The 23,799-nt window shown below is 46.2% G+C and overlaps 1 protein-coding gene and 1 pseudogene across 4 annotated transcripts in view, besides 1 other annotated feature; both read left to right on the forward strand.

Moving 5' to 3' along the window:
- On the forward strand, positions 4,921 to 5,430 carry RPS23P1 (ribosomal protein S23 pseudogene 1; annotated as a pseudogene).
- Positions 8,062 to 8,561: an enhancer, noted in NCBI's record as "H3K4me1 hESC enhancer chr8:98880393-98880892 (GRCh37/hg19 assembly coordinates)". NCBI's record gives its function as "activates a minimal SCP1, AML or CMV promoter by ChIP-STARR-seq in naive H9 embryonic stem cells {active_cell/tissue: H9 hESC(naive)}" and the evidence as "EXISTENCE:reporter gene assay evidence [ECO:0000049][PMID:30033119]".
- MATN2 (matrilin 2) overlaps positions 8,961 to 23,799 on the forward strand; it is a 167,661-nt gene continuing 152,822 nt past the window's right edge. For all 4 annotated transcript variants that reach the window (NM_002380.5, NM_030583.4, XM_005250920.3 and 1 more), the window contains exon 1: positions 8,961 to 9,184. The gene's annotated coding sequence lies outside the window, so the exon portion shown is untranslated. The remainder of the gene's footprint in view (positions 9,185 to 23,799) is intronic.

Here is a 23,799-nt window from a genome sequence, read left to right on the forward strand (position 1 = left end):
TTATTAAATTTACCTTTCCTATATTTAGTTGCCTTCAGTAAATAATAATAGCAGCTCTAAATCCCAGTCTTCTCTATCTTGACGACCTGTTGACATTTCATATTCATGGTGTCCAAAATGGAAAATTGTCCTCCCTTTTCCCCAGATCTCCTCCTGTTGATTTAATGTGTCTCCGTTGTGTTCCCGTCTTCCTGACTTAAGATCACAGGTCCTCTTCACTTCGCCCCTCTTTCTTTCCCTGTGGCTTCTACCCTTTTATGAGGTAGCATAACATTTACCATTTACTGAGCCCTTCCTGTATGCAGACATGCTTAGATATATTATTAACTCTATCCCCATTTTACAGGTGAGGAAACCGAGGGTTTCAGAGGTAATTAACTGGGCCAAAGTCACCTAGTAAGTGGCAGAGGACTTGAATGCAGATTGAATACATCAAAGTAGGTAATGCATTTCTTTGAGACATCTAGAATTTCAGAATTCTGTACATATAACTTCTTGCTTCTTAACAATCATCAATTTCTACTAATTTGAATTAATACATCCCAAGAAGGAAAGCAGGTTGTGCAAAGCTGTGTAAACTGTAAACTTGGGGTGGATCTTCAACTTGAAGTTCGTGTTAACATAAGTAAAGCTGTCAGTTTCCCATTTAATTAGACTGGAAAATGCTCTGCAAATATCAGCTTTTCATTGTTATAAAGAATGTATTCAGGCAGGAAGAGGGATCAACAGAGGTGGGCCTTTTAGAGTGGTTGTTTTTAAGGGAGCAATTTCCTTTTGAGGAATTGTCCCTGCCCCTGCCCCAGAAAGCCAGTATCGCTGTCTATTTTCACACCTATCCAATAGAGACAGAAAAGAGTAGTCAATTCCCATGGGAGTGTAAGCTTTTTTTTTTTTCCCCTGTTGAAGTTAATGCATTGTATCATCTGTGTCCCTGAGAGTTAAACTTCCTTAAACATCTTAATACAAAATCCAGGTATGAGCTGGGCATCAAGACACATTGCAAACTCATAGGTTTCAATAAAATTACATAAGTAATGGATTGCAAGAAGGAACAGAAAATAAAGCCAATAACATCCTTTTGGTCTCCATCTGAAAATGACTTCCTTCTAGAAGCCTATGGCCTACCAATCTGAGTGGCATTTTTTTTTTTTTTTTTTCTTTTTGAGATGGAGTCTCTCGCTCTGTCGCCCAGGTTGGAGTGCAGTGGCGCGATCTCAGCTCACTGCAACCTCCGCCTCCCCGGTTCAAGTGATCCTCCCACCTCAGCCTCCTGAGTAGCTGGGACCACAGGTGTGCACCACCATGCCCAGCTAATTTTTGAATTTTTAGTAGAGATGGGGTTTTGCCATGTTGGCCAGGCTGGTCTTGAACTCCTGGCCTCAAGTGATCCAACCCCCTTGGCCTCCCAAAGTGCTGGGATTACAGGCGTGAGCCGCTGCGCCTGGCCCTGGGTGGCATTCATTTTATGTTCTTCCATGGCATCCTCAGCATCCCCAATCAAGGTATATCTTCCGCTCTATGGTTACTGCTTTTCTTGTCGATAGTCCCCCAGTAGATTATAAACTCACAGAGAGTCTATGTGTTACTTATTGCTCTGTTCGTGTATGGCACATGTCTGGCAGATAGAAGGAACTCAAAACATATTTACTAGAATAAAATAAAATAAGCACATAAGGAGAATTAAAGCCAGCTGTAATCCCATCCCAGTGACTGCAACAAATTTTTAAAAGCAACTCAGTGGAGCTCAAGTTCCATAGAGACAATTCAGAAGAGCCTACTAGAAAAAAATTCCATTCCACCGGGCGTGGTGGCTCACGCCTATGATCCCAGCACTTTGGGAGGCCGAGGTGGGCAGATCATTTGAGGCCAGGAGTTCGAGACCAGCCTGGCCAACATGGCAAAACCCTGTCTCTACTAAAAATACAAAAATTAGCCAGTCGTGGTGGCACATGCTTGTGGTCCCAGCTACTTGGGTGGCTGAGGTGGGAGAATCACCTGAGCCTGAAAGGTTGACGCTGCAGTGAGTCATCATAATACCACTGCCCTCTAGCCTGGACAGCAGAGTGAGACCCTGTCTCAGAAAAAAAAAAAAAAAAAGAAAAGAAAAAAGAAAAGCAAAAAAAAAAAAAAAAGAAAAAGAAAAGAATTCATTCATTCCTATAGATGATGCAAGGAGACCGCGGGAAGGTCACTGCTCCAGCAACCCTGCCAAAGCCACAGCTGGAGTAGTGTGTACTGGGCTGGGGGGCTTTTAGGGGAGTGTCGACTTTTAGAAGAAAGTTGTAAAGGTGATAACAGCAACACAGTAATAAAAGGATTGCTTTCCGAAGAAAGATTAAAGTCCCGCTAAGATGAGAGGCTACCTAATAGTCTGCCTAAATTTGAAATCAAAAGGAAACCAGCATTCTTAGTTCTTACTATTCTTGTGATCAAGTCCCATTCACGTGAGCTTAATTCAGTAGGAATCTGAATACAAAATTAAATTGCTAGATGTGTCTCCTCTTAGGAGCTTTCTCTTTTCCCTTTCCTAGTAAATCGTTGTTAAAGCAATAAATGACCAAATCTAAGACCTTGGTGGAACCCTGAGACCTTGGATAAATGGGGGGGAATTCTCAACAGCTACTATGCAACTTAAAGATAGTGACCTGTTCACCTACTTCCTGGTCACTTCAGATTTAAATGAAATCCCTGTAAGACCATACATGATAAACCTTGTTTGTCTTTAATCCTTTATAAGAAGATCACAAAATTCCAATAGTAAAAGCAATGTAAATTCCCCTGTGGCAGGTACCATAGACTCAAGCACAGAAATTCCCACTGCAGGCAATTTCTGCAGTGGAAATGAATTTTTTTTTTCTTCAGATACTGTCTCACACTGTCACCCAGGGGAGAGTGGCACGATCACGGCTCACGGCAGCCTCAAACTCCTTGGCTCAAGTGATCCTCCCACCTCAGCCTCTCTGAGTAACTGGGATTACAGACATGCGCCACCATGCCTGGTTAATTTTTTTTTTAATGTTTTATAGAGACAGGAGTCTTGTTATACTGCCCAGGCTGGTCTCTAACTCCTGGCCTCAAGCAATCCTTCCACCTCAACCTTCCAAAGCACTGAGATTACAGGTATGAGTCACTGCACCCGGCCTTCAGACTTTGTTCTTTTTCTTTCAAGATTATTTTGGCTATTAGCATCAACCTGTCAGTTTCTGCAAAGAAGCCTCTGTGATTTCAGTAGGAATTATGTTGAATCTGTAGATCAATTTGGGGATACTGCCATTTTATTAAGTCTTCCAATCCATGAATATGGAATGTCTTTCCATTTGTTTAGATCTTCTGTAATTTCTTTCAATAATGTTTGCAGCTTTTAGAGTATAGAGTTTGCATTTCATTTGCTGAATTTCTTTTCTTTTTTTTCTTTATTTTGAGATGGAGTCTCACTCGGTCACCCAGGTTGGAGTGCAATGACACGATCTTGACTCATTGCAACCTCTGCCTTCCAGGCTCAAGTGATTCTCCTGCCTCAGCCTCCTGAGTAGCTGGGACTGCTGGCTTGTGCCGCCACGCCAGGCTAATTTTGTATTGTTAATAGAGACAGGGTTTTACCATGTTGGCCAGGCTGGTCTCGAACTCCTGACCTCAAGTGATTCACCCACCTCGGCCTCCTAAAGTACTGGGATTACAGGCGTGAGCCACCACACTCGGCCTATTTTTGTTATTCTTGAATCCCCATTTATTGAGCTCTGCCAGCGGGCTGGGGGATTTTATAGAATAGATGCACATAGACATTGCCCAAGTGTCTGGCAAACTGATTTAACACCAGGCATCCCATGCAGACATAGACTCATTAATATCCTTGAGAGAAGGTAGTTAGTTGAGTGTCACAAGGATGAGGCTATCGGCTCCTAATAGCCGACCACTTTGTGCCAATTTCTAGGTTTAGGAATGAAAGCAGCAGCAATCTGTGTTGCTGAGCGATGCTTCCATAAATAGCAGGTCCATCCTCCATTTCCAAAGTGAAACCTAGTCTGCAGGTAGACAGGCAGTGTTTCAGCCTTGTCAGTATCCAAGAAAACAAATCATATTTGTGCTCACTATTGCCTATGCATTAAGGCTCCCCACTTTATTATCTCATTCTTTACATTAATTTTTTTTTTTTTTTTTGTAGAGATGGGGTCTTGCTGTGTTGCCCAAGCCAGGCTCACACTCCTGGGCTCAAGGGATCCTCCTGTCTCAGCTTCTCAAGTAGCTGGGACTACAGCCAACTGCAACTGCCTATTATCTCTCTTTTAAAATCTGAGACGGGGTCTTGCTCTGTTGCTTAGGCTGGAGTCTGGAGTGCAGTGGTGCAATCACAGCTCATGGCAGCCTCGACCTCCCCAGCTCAAGTGATCCTCCCATCTCAGCCTCCCAAATTGCTGGGAGGCTAATTTTTAAATTTTTAAAAAATTAATCCAGCTAATTATTAAATTTTTTGCAGAGATGGGGTCTCACTGTGTTGCTCAGGCTGGTCTCAAACTCCTGCGCTCAAGTGATCCTCCTGCCTAGGTCTCCCAAAGGGCTGACATGACAGGCATGAGCCACTGTGCCAGGCCTTATCTCATCCTTGATAGGAAGCTGCATCAATCTGATTCCACAAAACTACAAGGCTCTAAAATCCTGGTTAGAGCCGGTGTAACCCAGTCCCTTCTACAGCATGGCATAGGGCAAGATCTATAAATAAGCAAAAGGCCCAGTCCCTGTCCTCAGGAGCTCATGGTCCAAGTCAAAATCACATAAAAACATTTGAGTCCCCTTTGAAATGAGTATTGTTTTCTTGAACAAATTTTCAACTTGCTGTAGTTTTTTTCCTGATCACTTTCATCCTGTCTTTCCAAGATGGGATATGTTTATTTAGAAATTACTTCACCTGGGACAGCTGCTTCTCTCTTTTGCTCAGGCCCGTAGCACTGCAGGATGGGCAAGTGTCGTGGACCTCATACTGCTAGGAGTCTCTGTAGTCACCAACAAGATCAGAAGTGGCATGATAAACAGTACAAGAAAGCCCATTTGGGCACAGCCCTGAAGGCCAACCCTTTTGGAGGTGCTTCTCATGCAAAAGGAATTGTGCTGGGAAAAGTAGGAGTTGAAGCCAAAAAGCCAAATTCTGCCATTAGGAAGTGTGTCAGGGTCCAGTGGATCAAGGATGGCAAGAAAATCACAGCCTTTGTATTCAGTGATGGTTGCTTGAACCTTATTGTGGAAAACCATAAAGCTCTGGTTGCTGGATTTGGTCAAAAAGGTCATGCTGTTGGTGATATTTCTGGAGTTCGCTTTCAGGTTGTCAAAGTAGCCTGTGTCTTTCTTTTGGCCCTATACAAAGGCAAGAAGGAAAGACCAAGATCATAAATTTTAATGGTGAAAACACTGTAGTAATAAATGTTCATATGCCAAAAAGAAAAAAAAGAAATTATGTCACCTGGGACAATGGTGCCATCAGTCAGCCTGTCCTCAAAGGAACCCTCTGGACATGGACCCAACTGTCCATGTAGATGGGGTATCCCAAAGGGAGCTCTGCCCTGCCTACAGGGTTCCCCTCCCTGGGCTGGAGTCCAAGCTCATCCACTACCTTGGAACATTCCCTTAACCCTGCATCTCCAGCTCCAACAAATGGGCAGCTGGCCGGATATGAAGATGTTTCCTCTCCTGGCCTTCTACTTGAGGGAGACAGGGAGGAGCTCTAATAGTTTACATAGGACTCAAACACTGTCTGTCACCTAGGGAAACAGTGCACGTGAGATGACATTGCAATTTTACATGTCTCCTCATGCATTCAGTAGAGCTTTATTTTAGGTTTATAGGTCCGTGAGGCAACCTGTTTCTTCTTCAGTTTCCTTATACTGTACTCTGGTCCCCTTTGGATTTGACAGTCTCATTTCAATCTGCCCTCTAGGCCAGATAGCTAGGTCTCAAGTAAGAAGGATTCTAATGCAAAACAAAAAGTTCTAATGTTTACAAGGAGCAAAGGGATGCTTATGTTTAAAGTCTATATTCGAGGCTGTTCACGAGTGTGAGGCCTGGGTCAAATGACTCTCCTGACCCAAATCCTTACTCCACAATAGACTACGTGGAGATCGAGAACTGAGAGTTGATCCCAAGTATAGCTACTCAGGTTGTGATTAGTTTAAACAGATACCAATTCCAGTTAACTTGTGAGCTCTTAGGAGTTCTCAGATAATACATACCTCATTTTTGTCTGCTTACATGAGTGCCCACATAAGAACTGAAAATCTGTTTTTTTTCTTTCTGGGACAGAGTCTCACTCTGTCACCCAGTCTGGAGTGCAGTGGTGCAACCTCGGCTCATTGCGACTTCTGCCTCCCATGTTTAAGTGATTCTCCAGCCTCAGGCTCCCGAGTAGCTGAGATTACAGGCGTATGCCACTACACCCAGATAATTTTTGTATTATTATTATTATTATTATTCTTAATTTTTATTTTTTGAGATGGACTCTAGTTTTGTTGCCCAGGCTGGAGTGCAGTGGCACAATCTCAGCTCACTGCAACCTCCGCCTCCCAGGTTCAAGCGATTCTCCTGAGTTGCTGGGATTATAGCCTCCTGAGTAGCTGGGATTATAGGCGCCCACTACCACACCCGGCTACCTTTTGTATTTTTAGTAGAGACGGGGTTTCACCATGTTGACCAGGCTGGTCTAGAACTCCTGACCTCAAGTGATCAGTTCGCCTCAGCCTCCCAAAGTGCTGGGATTACAGGTGTGAGCCATCGCCCAGTCCCAGAACTAAAAATCTTAAACCCACACTTCTGAATAAGGTTCTCTGTACATCTAGCACATGGCAGGACCTCTAGCAGAAAAGGCAATTTTGGCCTTTTCCTAATCTATAGTCTTAATTATCAACTTGCAATTCATCCTGAAGGTAACCCAGAAATCATTTCATTGTTTGTTCTGCCTTTATATTTCAGGACATTGAACTTGCTTTTCCTTCATTTTTTTCTGGCAGACCTGAAGATCATCCCACAAGGTAGAACAACTCATTTAACCTATTTGACTTGGCCCCAAGTGTAATTTGTACATAGATTAACTATTCTGAAGAATTCCAATAGAACTCCCTGGGGGGAAAACACCCATTTTAATTGGCATACACCAGAGTCACTGGAATCAGTTACTAAATTACAATTTCCTTACAATTTGGAAGGGTTTGGGGATTGTTATTGTTTTCCTGGTAAATTACTGGATCACACTGGTGTCTTGGAATAAGTCAACACATTTTAAATTTAAGTTTCCATAAACTGTAGCTCAACTTCCCAAGTTCCTAGGGGATTTTCACTGGCCCAGACTCAGGAAGAATTTTCTTCTATGGGATCCAAGACTTCAGAGACCAAACATTTCCTGAAGACTTTCCTCTGCTTTCTGACCTCCACCTACCTCCTCCCAAAGACATAACAAAAAAACTATTTGTGATCAGTGCAGGCAGCCAAGAGTGCCCAGTGGGCCTAAGGTACTGGGTAAAGGAACAGGAATCCACAATTCTTTCTTGGTATTAAGGTATCATTGACTTGCCTGATGGCTCGAGTATGTTAACCCCTTGCTTCATGGCTGGAATTTTAATTACCCCTCCTGGAGCTTTTCTGAAGAATTGATTTTGGCGTTTATTCATATTTCAGAAATCAACTCTATCATCAAATAGGAATGATGGTTAATTACAAAACAAAGTCCGCCCAAAGCACCAAATTATCAGACTGTGGCACATCCAGAGGTTTTGAAACTAGTTAGTGCTGCTGCCTCTGCTGGTAGCTTGTTAAAACCTGAACTGGGGCCGGGCGCAGTGGCTCACGCCTGTAATCCCAGCACTTTGGGAGGCCGAGGCGGGCGGATCACGAGGTCAGGAGATCGACACCATCCTGGCTAACACGGTGAAACCCCGTCTCTACTGAAAATACAAAAAAAATTAGCCGGCCGTGGTGGCGGGAGCCTGTAGTCCCAGCTACTCTGAGGCAGGAGAATGGCGTGAATCCGGGAGGCAGAGCTTGCAGTAAGCCAAGATTGCGCCACTGCACTCCAGCCTGGGCGACTCCGTCTCAAAAAACAAACAAACAAACAAAAACACAAAACCTGAACTGGGTGCGTTGGCTAGTGGTTTGGGAACAGAATTTTGGAGCTTTATAGGAGATGTCCTGGTCTGTTATACATCCACTCACCCCAGCCTCCAGGAACTGGGGAGCTGGTAGAGGGGGGTGCCGGCCACTTTGACTGTCGCTGGCCAATCCTGTCTTCTGCATCCCTCCAAGGCTCCATGGGGACATCCAAGGTGAGGTTCCTCCATTCTGCAAAGTTGCAAATGTCTCTGCTCATAATTTCAAAAGTCTTGTCTGAACTAGACTTTCCCTGCTCCCTCGGGGTAGGAATTTTGTCTCCTCTCCATCCTGGCATCTTTACCTCCTCCCCATCCCGGGGCCTGGTCCCCAGCCAGTGGACGCTCTGTTAATATGAACTGGCACTGGTGGGGTGCTCTGGGCACTGGCAAGACAGCTCTTGGCGCTTGTCATCAATTAGCCCAATTCTCACCACTTTTTTCTCCATCCCCGCGTCAGTGGGTGCGTCCCGCAGGTCATGACCCCAAGTTCTAGATGTAAGATTCCTGCCATGTCTCCTTTCCCCCAGAAGACCCCTCCCCGCACTCCCAACCCGACAGGCCCCTAAAGCTGCCTGTGTTCCGTGCCTGCGGCTCCGGACCCCTGGAGTCTGATGCCCGCCTGGGCTCAGGCACGGACGGAGTGGAGCCAGGTGGCAGCAGGCAGGGCGCGCCGCCAGAGTGCCCAGCTCCCGGGGCTGCCCACAGGGTGGGGCCGCCCTCGCCGCCGCTCCCTCTCCGCGCCTTCCCCATCCCCAAAGAGGACACCCCTCCTTCCGCCCGGCCCGCTCCCCACCCCCGCCGCGGCACCGCCTCCCCAGCCGCCCGCCCTTGCCCAGCGCCTCCCAGGCAGCCAGCGAGCGAAGGGAGCGCTCTGGGATGGGACTTGGAGCAAGCGGCGGCGGCGGAGACAGAGGCAGAGGCAGAAGCTGGGGCTCCGTCCTCGCCTCCCACGAGCGATCCCCGAGGAGAGCCGCGGCCCTCGGCGAGGCGAAGAGGCCGACGAGGAAGACCCGGGTGGCTGCGCCCCTGCCTCGCTTCCCAGGCGCCGGCGGCTGCAGGTGAGCGCGGCGCGCTTTCCCCCGGCTCTGCGCGGCCGGGCGGCCTCGAAGTGCAGGCGGACCGACCCACCGACAGAATACCGAGCCTGGGCTGCCCGACGCGCAGGCGCCCTCCCCAGGCCCGCACTGCAGCCCCCAGCGCCCCGGGGCCCCGGCGCCTTCGACCCCTCCGAGGACAGGGGGAGAGGGAGGGCGGCGCTGCCCGACCCCTCGGCCGGGAGAGCTGGGCGCGCTCCCTGCGCAGGACAAGCCGCGCTGCAGCCGCCCCGGAGTGCCCCGTGGGGGCGCTGTGGCACGCAGCGGGGACGCCCAGACCCCGGCCACCGCGACCCAGGGAAAGGGAGACCTGTTGAGCGGGTATGCAGGGTGATTCCTATTCCACGGACAGCCGATGGCTCCCCCTTCCCTCTTCGGAACCTGGTATTTTCATGCCCGTGTCATCTGGATTTTGTTCTTGGGTCTCTATGGCAGCTAAACCTCCAGCTTCCCTATATTGTGGAAGAGGGAGAGAAAGGGGAAGGCATTTTGTGGTAGTTGCTAGAAACCCCAGAACAATTTGGAGCCGTTTGGGGAGAGGACAGAGAAATGGGGACTGTCCCTGGTAGGGTCTCCAGGACTGGGGGCACAGGAAAGTGCTCTCCTCAGGGACACTCGCGCCCACCCTGAACAAACCCAATTGACCAAGTTTCAATTTGTCATAAATCAGGAAGCCACAATGCATCTGCACCAAGCACACTTAAAATCGGCCTTTAAGGAATGGGGCAGTCAAGAGACTTCAGGGACCCGTGGTCGAGAGCAGAGACTGGGGTCAGCCTGCTTGGGTTTCAACCCCAGCTGTGAAGTTTACAGGGTTGATAACTTGAAGGTACCCAAGTATGCCTCAGTTTCCTCATCTGTCTAATGAGGATGGTAATACCCACAGAACTGTGAGGATTAAATGAGATATGGCGGCCGGGCACGGTGGCTCAGGGCTGTCATCCCAGCACTTTGGGAAGCCGGGGCGGGCGGATCACCTGAGGTCGGGAGTTCGAGACCAGCCTGACCAACATGGAGAAACCCCGTCTCTACTAAAAATACAAAATTAGCCGGACTTGGTGGCGCATGCCTGTAATCCCAGCTACTCGGGAGGTTGAGGCAGGAGAATCGGTTGAACCCAGGAGGCAGAGATTGCAGTGAGCGGAGATGGTGCCATTGCACTCCAGCCTGGGCAACAAGAGCTAAACTCCGTCTCAAAAGAAAAAAAAAAAGATATGGCAAGTAAAGTCCTTAGAACATTTCCAGGAGCATTCTAAGATTAGGTGAGTTCCATGGCTTGTCTTTGCAGAAATAGCAAGGAGCTGCTATGAGCAGTGAATGTACCTCTTCCCCAGTTCAGAAAGAGAGGCTCTCCATGGGTACGTGAGGGTGGCAGATAAGCCACGTGTATGCAACTGGTAGTTCCATGCAGGAGTCCACACGGGCGCAGTTCTCCCTGCTTGCTCCCAAAGGGCCAACCTCATAAAACCATGTCAAAATACCAACATGGGTTTATGACCTGGAATGTTTCCTCTCAGTCCCTGAAACTTGGCACTTAGAATCCTCTGTGGAGAATGAGATACTTATGGCTCTTCACCTTGCATTTTCCTATCTGTCCACACTTTTTACTTTTATTTCTGCCAATAGAATTCAATCTCAGGCCCCCGAGTTACCAGGACACTGTCTTCTATAAATCGGGGCTCTGGGGTTTCTTGTTCCCAGGCAACCCAGGGCCACCAAGGCCTAAGCTTGCTTGTTGGAGGTGTCAGAGCAGAGTCCAAATCTGAAACACCCTCGAGCAGCTGTCATGCCCTAAGCTCTTATCAGCGAGTGCCATATGTCCTTGTTTAGCAAAAGGTAGTTAAAAGTGTGGCCTGAGATTTAAAGAAAAGGAGAGATGTTTGCTCTTTGAAATAAGAGAGCCATTGGAGGTTCTGGAAAAATAATTCTACAGTTTATTTAGAAACAGTTCTGACTGGCACCTAAGAGAGGGCAAGGAGTGAGGTGGGGAGACTAAAAGGGGGAGAGACCGGCTTAGGCCTCAGGAAAAGCAGGCCGAAGAGGGTGTGACAGGTCTAACGCTGGCCTGAGCAAGGTGTTGGGTATGAGGCTGGGCAAGCAGTAGGAGAGGTGAGTGGTTTAAGACCAGTCAAGTTGGCAGAGAGCCTCTAGTGCTGCCCCTGGCACTCACTGCCCTCTGATCTGTAGCACCTGCAGGAGCGTCCCTTCCAGGGATTCCCCGTCTTCTAGGGAAGCTATGGAGGACTCCCCTGTTTAAAGCATATGGCAAGATAACTCAGGAGGGCCAGGGAAAGAGGGAGGCTGAGCATATGCCAAGGGGAGAATGGGGAATGTCATTGCTGTTGCTAGTGAATGGTGCCAGGGAGGTCCTTCCAAGGGGCCACTTGCCACTTGGAGCTTCAGCCCATGAGGCCATCCTTGAACCCTGCCATGTGGCTCGGCAGACAGCCAATACTGCCTGAAGGGGGCTCAGATGGAATGGCAGGGCTGGGCTGTTGCCAGTAATTGGTGTTAATGACTATGACAGTGGCTTTGACATGGATGAGATGGAGTTGGGGTACAACCCAAAGCACACTGCTCTTGGCACCCGAAAGACCTGGGTTGCAGTTCTAGCCCCTCATACCTGCAAAGATTTTGGAAAGTTACTTAGACTCTCTGTGCCTGACATCTGTTTCTTCATCTGTAAATGAAGACTGGATTTTTTGGGAGAATTAAATTAGTTAACAGGTGTTCAGTGCCTAGCTCAGAATAAATGCTCAATATTTGTTAGCTATACTTACTATTATTGTCTGAGCCTTGGTTTATATCATCTGTCAAATGGGCGTGATACTATGTCATAGGGTTGTTGTAAGGGTTAAATGAAATAATTAATGTGAATTTATCCAACAGTGTGTGAAGGGTGTAAAGTACTCAAAGTGAGTCAATTGAAATGGAAAATTTCACAAAATACCTGCATGTAAAAATCAGCGGCTGAGCAGGTGGATCAGCTAACATTTTTGGAAAGTTATTCTAAAAGTACTGTCAGAGGAACCTTTATCTACTTATGGAAAGTGGGGCTCACTGCCCATGGGGATACCCTGTAGTTATTTTATGTTGTTGTATTAGTTGCCTATTGCTGCTATAACAAATTTCACAAACATAGTGGCTTAAAACAACCCTAAGATGTTATCTTGCAGTTCTGAAGTTCAGAACTCTTAAATGGGTTTTGTAGAGCTAAAATCAAGGTGTCAGCAGGGCTCTGTGGTTCCTTTTGTAGGCTCTTGGGAAAATGTCTTTCATTTTCTGACTTCTAAAACCTGACTGCATTTCTTGGCTCTTGGTTCCTTCTTCCATCCTCAAAGCCAGTAACAGCATCTTCCAACCCTTCTCCCCATCCTGACTCTCGTGTCTCCCTCTTACAAAACCATACCTAGAAAATCTGGGCTAATCACTGCATCTCATAATTCCTAAGTTAATCACATCTCCAAAGTCCCCCCGTTTTTTTTTTTCAAGACAGAGTCTCGTTCTATCGCCCACGCTAGAGTGCAGTGGCGTGATCTTGGCTCACTGCAGCCTCCGCCTCCCAGGTTCAAGTGTTCTCCTGCTTCAGCCTCCCAAATAGATGGGATTACAGCCATGAGCTACCACACCTGGCTAATTTTTTATATTTTTAGTAGAGATGGGGTTTCACCGTGTTGGCCACGCTGGTTTCGAACTCCTAACCTTAGGTGATCTGCCCACTTTGTCCTCCCAAAGTCCTGGGATCACATGCGTGAGCCAACCGCACCCGGCCCAAAGTCCCTTTTGCCATGTAAGGCAACACAGTCTGGGGATTAGGCCATAGACATCTTTGACATATTATTCTATCTGCCAGAAATATTAGAGTATTAGATTGGGCATGATGGTAAGAAAAACTATTTAGAAAAAAGAAAGAAATATTAGAGTATTAGAGAAAATGATCTAAATCAAAGAGTTTTAGCTCACTTCTGTTTAGGGCTTCTCCCTGTACCCTCCCAGTTAGGTGAGTTTGTTTTCACATCTCTTTTTTTCTTTTTTTTTTTTTTCCCAGACAGTTTCTCTGTGTTGCCCAGGCTAGAGTGCAGTGGCACAATCTCTGCTCACTGCAACCTCTGCCTCCCAGGTTCAGGTGATCCTCCTACCTCAGCCTCCCAAGTTGCAACACCATGCCCTGCTAATTTTTGTATGTTTAGTAGAGACAGGGTTTCACCATGTTGGCCAGGCTGGTCTCAAACTCTTGACCTCATGATCCACCTGACTCAGCCTCCCAAAGTGCTGAGTTTACAGGTGTGAGCCACCATGCTTGGCTGTTTTCACATGTCTTAAAGACCAAAAGCTCAAGACCAGAGGGGTCAAGGCTATGGATCAAATGCTTCTTGAAACTCAGTTCAGAAATGGCTCCTTCCTGTCCTTTTTGGGCTTTCTCCCTCCCCTTGAGTAACCCTCAAATTTGTTTCTTTTTTAGATTTTTGTAAAAACTTTTTTTTTACAGAGACAGGGTCTCGCCATGTTGTCCAGGCTGGTCTCGAACTCCTGAGTTCAAGTGATCCTCTTGCCTCAGCCTCTCAAAGTACTGAGATTATAGGCGTGAGGCACCACGCCTGGCCAGTAACCCTCAACTTTGGCCCTTAGAACAGTCACTGTTGCCCCATCAACAGCATTTGTTGACTTTTCTAGCTGCTTCTCCTCTTCCATTTCTAGTGAAATAGAAAAAATGCCCTCATGTCCAGAGCAAGATCTCTGTGAAGCAAATCACTCTAGTGACGTTTGACCTCCCTGAGATTCCCAGACGGTGTCTGTACTAGTTTCCTATTGCTGCTGTAACAAGTTAGCACAAACTTAGTGACTTAAAACACAGATTTATTATCTTACAGTTCTGGAGGCCACAATTCTGAAATGGTTCTCATGGGGCTAAAAATCCAGGTGTCAGCAGGGAGAATTTGTTCCCCTGCCTTTTCCAACTTCCAGAGGCTGCACGCATTGCTCGGTTTGCTTCCATCTTCAAAGCCAGCAATGTCAGGCTGCATCCTTCTCTCACTGCCACACCTCAGATCTCTCTTCTGCCTTCCTCTTCTTCTTCTTCTTCTTTTTTTTTTTTTGTTTGAGACAAGGTTTTGCTCTGTCGCCCGGGCTATCATGCAGTGGTGCGATCACGGCTCACTGAAACCTCAGTCTCCCGGGTTTAAGTGACCCTCTTATTTAGGCTCCCAAGTAGCTGGGACTACAAGGATTGTGCCACCATGTCTGGCTAAATTTTTTTTTAATTTTAATTTTTTGTAGAGACAGGGTCTCTCTATCTTGCCCGGCTGATCTTCGACTCCTGGGCTCAAGCAATCCTCCTGCCTTGGTTTCCCAAAGTGCTGGGATTACAGGCATGAGCCACCATGCCCTGACCTCTTCTACTTTTTTTTTTTTGAGACAGAGTCTTGCTCTGTTGCCCAGGCTGGAGTGCAGTGGTGTGATCTCAGCTTACTGCAACCTCTGGCTCCTGGGTTCAAGCGATTCTCCTGCCTCAGCCTCCTGAGCAGCTGGGATTACAGGCGCGAGCCACCATGCCTGGCTAATTTTTCTATTTTTAGTAGAGATGGGGTTTCACCATGTTAGTCAGGCTGGTCTCGAACTTTTGACCTTGTGATCTGTCCGCCTCGACCTCCCAAAATGCTGGGATTACAGGCACAAGCCACCGCCCCTGGCCCCTCTTCTACTTTTGAGGACGCTCGTGATTACATTGGCCCACCTAGATAATCCAGGATCATCTCCCCTTTTTTAAGGTCATCTGATTAGCAACCTTAATTCCCTTTGCCATCTAACATCACATATTCCCAGCTTCTGGGAATTATGATGTAGACATCTTTGGAGGGCAATTATTCTGCCTGCCACAGGACCTGAGAAGGAGTTCCAAATAGTGTCCGCCTGGGCTGCCTCATTCTTAATAACCACCCCCTTCCAGAATGTGCACAATGGCCCACTCAAGAGAGAACACCTGTTAAACTCTTCAAAATTTCTCCCGCAGCTCTCAGGTCTCTCAGTCCCTCTGTTGGTGGAAGGATCTGAGGGCAATAGAGCCTGGAACTGCACACTTTATTTGTTAAGTTAATTTTTTTCTTTTAAATCAGAGGAACATATAAAAAGGTGCACAAATCATGAGGGAAATCTCAATGGAGTTTTACAAGTGAGCACTCTCCACTGTCATGTAACTGCCCCCAAGATCTGCACCCATAGCCCCCTTTGGACCCCAAATAAATTATCGTCTTCCCCTAAGGCAACTACTATTTTACCTTCTATCACCATAGGTTAATTTTGTCTGCTTTATCTTACTTTATTTTTTATTTTTATTTTGCTCTCTGGATCTGTGTAGAGTATTTGCCTGTTTTTTTTTTTTTTTTTTTTTTTGAGGTGGAGTCTCACTCTGTCGCCCAGGCTGGAGTGCAGTGGCTCGATCTCGGCTCACTGCAAGCTCCACCTCCCAGGTTCACACCATTCTCCTGCCTCAGCCTCCTGAGTAGCTGGGACTACAGGTGCCCGCCACCCTGACCAGATAATTTTTTGTATTTTTAGTAGAGATGGGGTTTCACCGTGTTAGCCAGGATGGTCTCGATCTCCTGACCTCATGATCCACCCGCCTCAGCCTCCCAAAGTGCTGGGATTACAGGCGTGAGCCACTGCGCCTGGCCGAGTATTTGCCTCCTTTTTAAGCAAACTTCTCTTTTTTTCTTTTGAGACATGGTCTGACTGTCGCCCAGGCTGGAGTGCAGTGGCATGATCCTAGCTCACTGCAACTTCCTGGCTCTAGCCAACCTCCCACCTCAGCCTCCCGAGTAGCTGAGACTACAGGCATGTGCCACCACGCTTGGCTAATTATTGTATTTTTTTTTTTTTTTTTTTTGAGACAGAGTTTCGCTCTTGTCACCCAGGCTGGAGTGCAATGGCGCAATCTCGGCTCACTGCAACCTCCGCCTCCCAGGTTCAAGTAATTCTCCTGCCTCAGCCTCCCGAGTAGCTGGGATTACAGGCATGCACCACCATGCCCGGCTAATTTTGTATTTTTAGTTGAGTTGGGATTTCTCCATGTTGGTCAGGCTGGTCTTGAACTCCCGACCTCAGGTGATCTGCCTGCCTTGGCCTCCCAAAGTGCTGGGATTACAAGCATGAGCCACCGCGCCTGGACAATTCATGTATTTTTTGTAGAGACAGGGTCTCACAATATTGACCAGGCTGGTCTTGAACTCCTGAGCTCAAGCAATCTGCTCGGCTCAGCCTCCCAAAGTGCTAGCATTACAGGCTTAAGCCACTGCGCCTGGCCTACAAACTTCTTATTGACGTATACATACAAAAAAGTACACTAATCAAGGAAGCAGCTGGATTAGTTTTCATGACATAAACCCATGTGTAACCAGCATTTTGATCAATAAATAGAACATTGCCAGCACCCAGAATCCCCGCTCAGGCTCTTTCTGTGCACTAACAAGCCAAGTCTAACCACAATCCTGATTCCTATGATTGTGGATACATTTTTTCCATTTTTGAATGTTATTTTGTTCAATGTTATATTTGTAAATTTCTCATGTAATTAATATGCCGTAATTAATTCTTTTTTATTGCTGCGTAATATCCCATTATATGGCCACACCACAGTTTTTCTGTACTATTGTTAAGGGCTGTTGAGATTGTTTCCATTCACACTTCTTTTTTTTTTTTTTTTTGAGATAAGGTCTCTGTCTGTCACCCAGGCTGAAGCACAGTGGCATGATCGTAGTTCACTGCAGCCTCAACCTCCTGGTGCTCAAGCAATCCTCCCACCTCAGCCTCCCGAGTAGCTGGGACTATAAGTGTGTACCACCATGCTCAGCTAATTTAAAAAAAATTTTTTGGGGGGGCCAGGCACAGTGGCTTATGCCCATAATCCTAACACTTTGGGAGGCCGAGGCGGGCGGATCATCTGAGGTTGGGAGTTTGAGACCTGCCTGACCAACATGGAGAAACCCTGTCTCTACTAAAAATACAAAATTAGCCGGGCATGGTGGTGCATGCCTGTAATCCCAGCTACTCTGGAGGCTGAGGCAGGAGAATTGCTTGAACCCGGGAGGCGGAGGTTGCAGTGAGTCGAGATCGCGCCATTGCATTCCAGCCTGAGCAACGAGAGTGAAACTCAGTCTCAAAAAAAAAACTTTTTTTTTTTTTGTAGAGATGAAGTCTCACTATATTGCCCAGACTGGTCTCAAATTCCTGGGCTCATGTGCTTCTCCCACCTCAGCCTCCCGAAGTGCTGGGATTACAGGCATGAGCTTCTGCTCCTTGCCTACTTCATTTTGAAAGGGAGTGACTACCTACCCATATCTCAGTTGTCATAAATGCAATTCCACCTGCAGAAATTCAGGAAGGGAAGATTGTATTTAGCACTGGTGCCAAATGCATTCATTAGGAGAGACTTAAAAACAGTCTACTGGTTAGGATTAAGTTCAGCTGCAAGTTACAGAAAAAATGAAATGACAGTGGGTTAAAGAAAGAAGTTTATTTCTGTCTTGTGTTCAAGAAGTCTGGAGACAGTGAGTGTCCAAAGTGTATGTGGGGTAAGGCCCCATGCCCTGTGCCTGGTTGCTTTTAGCATGCATAGCTTCCATTTCCATGCAGTCTCACCCAGGATTTCGGGATGACTGCTGAGTACTAAACCAAAAAACAAAAACAAAAACAAAAAAAAACAAAACCGATGTTAGAGAGGCAGGTAAGGCATTTGAAAACATTGTTTTATGGAAAAAAAAAGTTATGGAACATTTATAAAATGAAAAAAGCAGTTTTTTCTAAATTAACACATTATTTTATAACTTAAAATGTTTTAAATATGTATTTGTGACTTAACTGATACATTATTATAAGTAGATACTTGATATTTCATCTATATCCTTTAAAATATTCAAGCTGACCAAGAAATTGTATGTGGGGTCTTCCAATCAGGAAAAATAGGAGCCAGGCACAGTGCCTCACACCTGTAATCCCAGCACTTGGGAGGCCAAGGCTGGAGGATCATTGAGCCCAGGAGCTCACGGCCAGCTGGACAACATGGCAAAACCCCATCTCTACAAAAAATACAAAAACGTGGGGGTACTGGTGTAGTCTCAGTTACTGGGGAGGCTGAGGCAGGAGGATTGCTTGAGCCCAGGAGGTCAAGGCTACAATGAGCCATTATTGTGCAACTCCAACCTGGGCAGCAATGCAAGACTCTGTCTCAAAAAAAAAAAAAGAAGAAGAAGTCCAGGCATGGTCGCTCATGCCTATAATCCCAGAACTTTGGGAGAGCAAGGCGGGGGAATCACTTGAGGTCAGGAGTTCAAGACCAGCCTAGCCAACGTGGTGAAACCCCATCTTTACTAAAAATACAAAAAATTAGCTGGGCATGGTGGCGGGTGCCTGTAATCCCAGCTACTTGGGAGGCTGAGGCAGGAGAGTCACTTGAATCTAGGAGGTGGAGGTTGCAGTGAGCCGAGATCATGCCACTACACTCTAGCCTGGGCAACAAGAGCGAAACTCCATCTCAAAAAAAAAAGAAGAAGAAGGAAGATGTTATCCTCCTATTACAGTCGCCTACATTCAGGCAAACATAGTACGTAGAGGAAGACATGGACTTGACTTTGGTACTTTTTGGATGCAGAACCAGGGCCATTTTGCTTCAACTAATATTTTGTTAATTAATGAAAGATCAATAAATATGTTTGTTCAAATTAATAATTTTAAAAAAATTTATTCACACAATTTGGTACCTAGCACAAGAAGCAAACAGAGGTGACAAGGTGCATGCTGCAGCAGACAACAAACCCATTGTCAGGGGTCTATGAAGCAGTCAGTTCTCATTAGAAAACCGAGAGAATATTTTACAGCATGAGTGACATGTGAGCTGAGGCTTGAGGACTGAATGCAATTTCGATGAATGTAGAATGTAGAAATTTCAGGGTGAGGGACCGGCATGGATGGAGGCGCCCCGCTATGACAAGAGTCTGAGTTCTTCAAGCCCTAATGGGGAGGCTGGGGTGGATGTGGGGGCCACCATGGTCAGAGAGGTGGGCAGTGGCCAGTCAAGGAGGGCCTTGAATGTTAACATTGCACAGTGAGGCCACAGGCAGATTCAAAATCACAAGGGAAGGGCCAGTAGATGAGGGACCCAAGGCAGGGAGGGCAGTTCTGAGGCTCCTGGGAGTCTGGCTGAGAAAGGGTGTGGGTAGAACATTCGCTGCAGCAGTGGGAACTGTCAGGAGGCCTGGACAGGGGAGCTGTGCAGAGGTGGGAACACCAGAATTTATCCACTCACAAATGTGTTGAGGATACAGAGGACACGTGGAAGCTGGCTCCCAAATTTCTGGCCTAGATGGCTGGGCAGATGGGGTTAGCATGACCATGAAAGGATTTGAGGAAAAGATGACTTTGTGTCTGGACAGGCTGAATTGGCAAGCAGGCCTGCACCACTGGGTGGAAGTTACAGACAGCATCAGGTCAACATCGCGGAGAACTGAGGTCTAACATTTAGAGCTGCCTGAAGATTGTGGATGGCCTTGAATCCTAGCCAGAGGTTGTCTTCCCATTTGCTAGGGATTCCAGGATTAGGTGGAAGACAGGAAGGTACAGCCTGAAATTCACACAGCTCCAGTATTGTATGATTCTCTGTGAACTCATAGAACAGTTGGTGTGCATACCTGGTATGCTGACAAAGAGATCTTTGGCAAAACTATTGAGCCTGATGTCTAGGAATTTATCGTTAGAAAAATCTTTCTTTCTTTTTTTTTTTTTTTTTTGAGACCAAGTCTTGCATTGTCACCCAGGCTGCAGTGCAGTGGCGCCATCTCAGCTCACTGCAGCCTCTGCCTCTCGCGTTCAAATGATTCTCCTGCCTCAGCCTCCCGAGTAGCTGGAATTACAGGTGTGCACCACCATGCCTGGCTAATTTTTGTATTTTTAGTAGAGATGGTGGAACAGGAATTAAAAGAAATTAAAGAATATGTGTAAGCAGAAGCTCAGTTGTATATAAGAAAACTCAATTCCCCCTGAGAAAGAGAAAGAGCTGGAGTCCTTTAAAAATTAACTGCCTGTTTTTCTGTGGCTAGTGAGCCTTATCTCTCCTCCTCTCCCAGGCATTGTGAAGACCCTGTTTCTCTAGCTGTGCAGCTGCAAGGTTACTAGACAGATAAACTCAAGTCATAAAACATGTTTTTCCTTGGAAAGTAAGAAATGATGTAATGCATGTCTCTCAATTAATTGAATTATTGTCTTTGTTTCTTGCTGTAATATGCTTCCCCCTGCACAGATCTCCCCACACCCCACGAAATGCTTAAAAGCTAACTTAACTCTTTGTTCAGGGCTCAGTCCTTTGGATGTTAATCCGACTGGGCTGATGCACACCTAAATAATAAATATCCTCCTCAACCCCATTGGTCTCTCTGATTCCTTAAAAAATCCTGCTACAATGGGATTTCACCATGTTGTCCAGGCTGGTCTCGAAATCCTGGCCTCAAGTGATGCATCCTTCTTGGTCTCCCAAAGTTCTGGGATTACAGGCATGAGCCACCATGCCCGGCCTGAAAATCTTATTCTTAACAAGTAGACTGACTGCCTGAGAGGTGCCAGGGTAGAATATTGTCTCTGCCAGTTAACAAGTTCTGAGGCCTTGGAGAGGTCTTTCCACCTATAAATCTTAGTGTTCCATCCATCAAATTTGGAACTCATCCACCTCACAGAATGATTGTGGGGATCAAATGAGATGATACTGTGAAAAATGCCCAGTTCACTGGCTGTCCCATCCAGACACTTAATAAATATTAGTGTCCTGTCCCCTTTCTCTTTTTGTCTGGAGGTGGGGTTACCACTGGAGAGGGGATCTTGCCACCTTCTTCAGGATAGCAGGATCTTGCCAATGGTCTGGTTTAGATTGAGAAACTTGGCTCCCAGGCCATGCCTCTTATTTTATGGATGACTAGTTAAAGCCCAGAGAGTTGTTACCTAGGTGAGGTCATGCAGGTGTGCAGAACCAGGCCTCTGGTCTCAAGGCCCACACCATACAGTTCTGGCTCTGGAGGGAATTCTATTCGCCTGTGGATTTACTTGCAACAGTGATGCTTAGAAGAACCCGTAGTTAAGACAGAATAATCTTCTCTCTCTTCCCCCACCCCCTTGGTGAAGTTAAATGAAAAGACTCATTGTCCCATGGAGAAGAGAAAAACTGTTAAAACAAAAGTCAAAGCCGTTGTATTATTTTAAAATATTCTTTCCATGTTCCCAAATGCTTCATGGAATCTGTTCGGACTGAATTAACCTCTCTATTTCTCAGCACAGAAATTCTTCTCAGATGCCCAAAAATGAAAGGAACTGTTCTCAAATATCATTCCATTTTCCAGTTAGAAATGGGTCCTGATCTTCAAATGCTGACAGCTGTAAATGCCAAACTGAGAAACAACCATTGAGATGGATACATGCACTGACTTATTTTTTTCTTGTTTCACTGCCATTGCAGTTTTTAGGAAAAAATCTATCTTGTCTGGTACTGATATTGCCACACTGATTTTATGTTGGCATCTATATGGTATCCTTTTCCCATTCCTTTATTACTTATCTTTTTTTTTTTTTTTTTTTTTTTGAGACAGAGTCTCACTCTGTTGTTGCCCAGGCTGGAGTGCAATGGTGTGATCTTGGCTCACTGCAACCTCTGCCTCCCGGGTTCAAGCAATTCTCCTGCCTCACCCTCCCAAGTAGCTGGGATTACAGGTGTGCGCCACCATGCCTGGCTAATTTTTTTGTATTTTTAGTAGAGACGGGGTTTCACAATGTTGGCCAGGCTGGTCTCAAACTTCTGACCTCAGGTGATCTGCCCGCCTCAGCTTCCCAAAGTGCTGGGATTACAGGCATGAGCCACCATGCCTGACCCTTATTATTTGTCTTTTTCACAAGCCCACAGTTAACATCATAATTCCTTTTTTTAATGTATTATTTTTAATTTACTTTCTTTAAAAATATTTTATATTAAAAATATTTCTACTTAAAGGAACTTTAGAAGATTTCATGTTAGTTTTCAAGTCACTGTAAGATTTTCTTTCTTTTTTTCTTTTTTTTGAGGCCGGGTCTTGCTCTGTCACCCAGGCTGGGGTGCAGTGGCAGTGATCATGGCTCACTGCAGCTTTGACCTCCTGGGCTCAAGCGATTCTCCCACCTCAGCCCCTCCCTCGAGTAGCTGTTCTAAGTTTTCTTCCTTTGTGCCACCATGTCTGGCTAATTTTTGTATGTTTTGTAGCGATGGGATTTCGCCATGTTGCCCAGGCTGGTCTCCTGGGCAGCATGACCTGCTTACCTTGACCTACCAAAGTTCTGGGATTCCGAGTATGCACCACCGTGCCGAGCCAAGGTTCCAGTTTCTTCACATCTTCACCAACACTTGGTTACGTCAGTCTTTTAAAAATTGTTTTTAAATTTTTTCATATTCCTAGGTCACTATTATACTCTTTTCAATATACTCTTTTCAATTTTATCTATTCCAGCAGATTTGTTGTGGCGTCTTATTGTGCTTTTAATTTGTATTTTTCTAATGACTAAAGATGTTGAACGTGTTTTCATATGTTTATTTTTCATCCGTGTATCTTCTTTGGTGATGTGACTATTCAAATCTTTTGCACATTCTGAAGTGGGTTTATCCTCTTCTAATTGAGTGATAAGAGTTTACATAGTCCCGGCCAGGTGCTGTGGCTCATGCTTGTAAACCTAGCACCCTGAGAGGCCAAGGCAGGCAGATTGCCCGACGTCAGGAGTTCGAGACTGGCCTGGCCGACATAGTGAAACCTCATCTCTACTAAAAATACAAAAATTAGCCTGTAGTCCCAGCTACTCAGGAGGCTGAGACAGGAGAATCGCTTGAACCCAGGAGGCGGAGGTTGCAGTGAGCCAAGATTGCGCGATTGCACTCCAGCCCGGGTGACAGAGTGAGACTCTGTCTCAAAAAAAAAAAAAAAAAAGTGTATATAGTCTGGATAGAAATAATCGATCAGATACATATTTTACAAATATTTTCTACTAGTCTGTAACTTGTCATGCCATTGCACTTTGTTTGTTTGTTTTGAGACAGAGTCTCATTCTGTTACCCAGGCTGGAGTACAGTGGTGTGATTATGGCTCACTGCCACCTCGACCTCTCGGGCTCAAGCAATCCTCCAGTCTCAGCCTCCCAAGTAGCTGGGACTGCAGGTGTGTGCCAACCTTCCCAGCTAATTTTTTTTTTTTTTTTTGAGACAGAGTCTCACTCTGTCCCCAGACTGGAGTGCAGTGGCATGATCTCGGCTCACTGCAAGCTCTGCCTCCTGGGTTTACACCATTCTCCTGCCTCAGCCTCCTGAGTAGCTGGGGGACTACAGGTGCCCGCCACCACACCCGGCTAATTTTTTGTATTTTTAGTAGAGACGGGGTTTCACCGTGTTAACCAGGATGGTCTCGATCTCCTGACCTCGTGATCTGCCCACCTCAGCTTCCCAAAGTGCTGGGATTACAGGCGTGAGCCACTGTGCCTGGCCTAATTTTTGTATTTTTTATAGAGACAGGGTTTTGCCATGTTGCCCTGCC

Source organism: Homo sapiens, chromosome 8, assembly GCF_000001405.40.
Source record: "Homo sapiens chromosome 8, GRCh38.p14 Primary Assembly".
Lineage (NCBI taxonomy): Eukaryota > Metazoa > Chordata > Mammalia > Primates > Hominidae > Homo > Homo sapiens.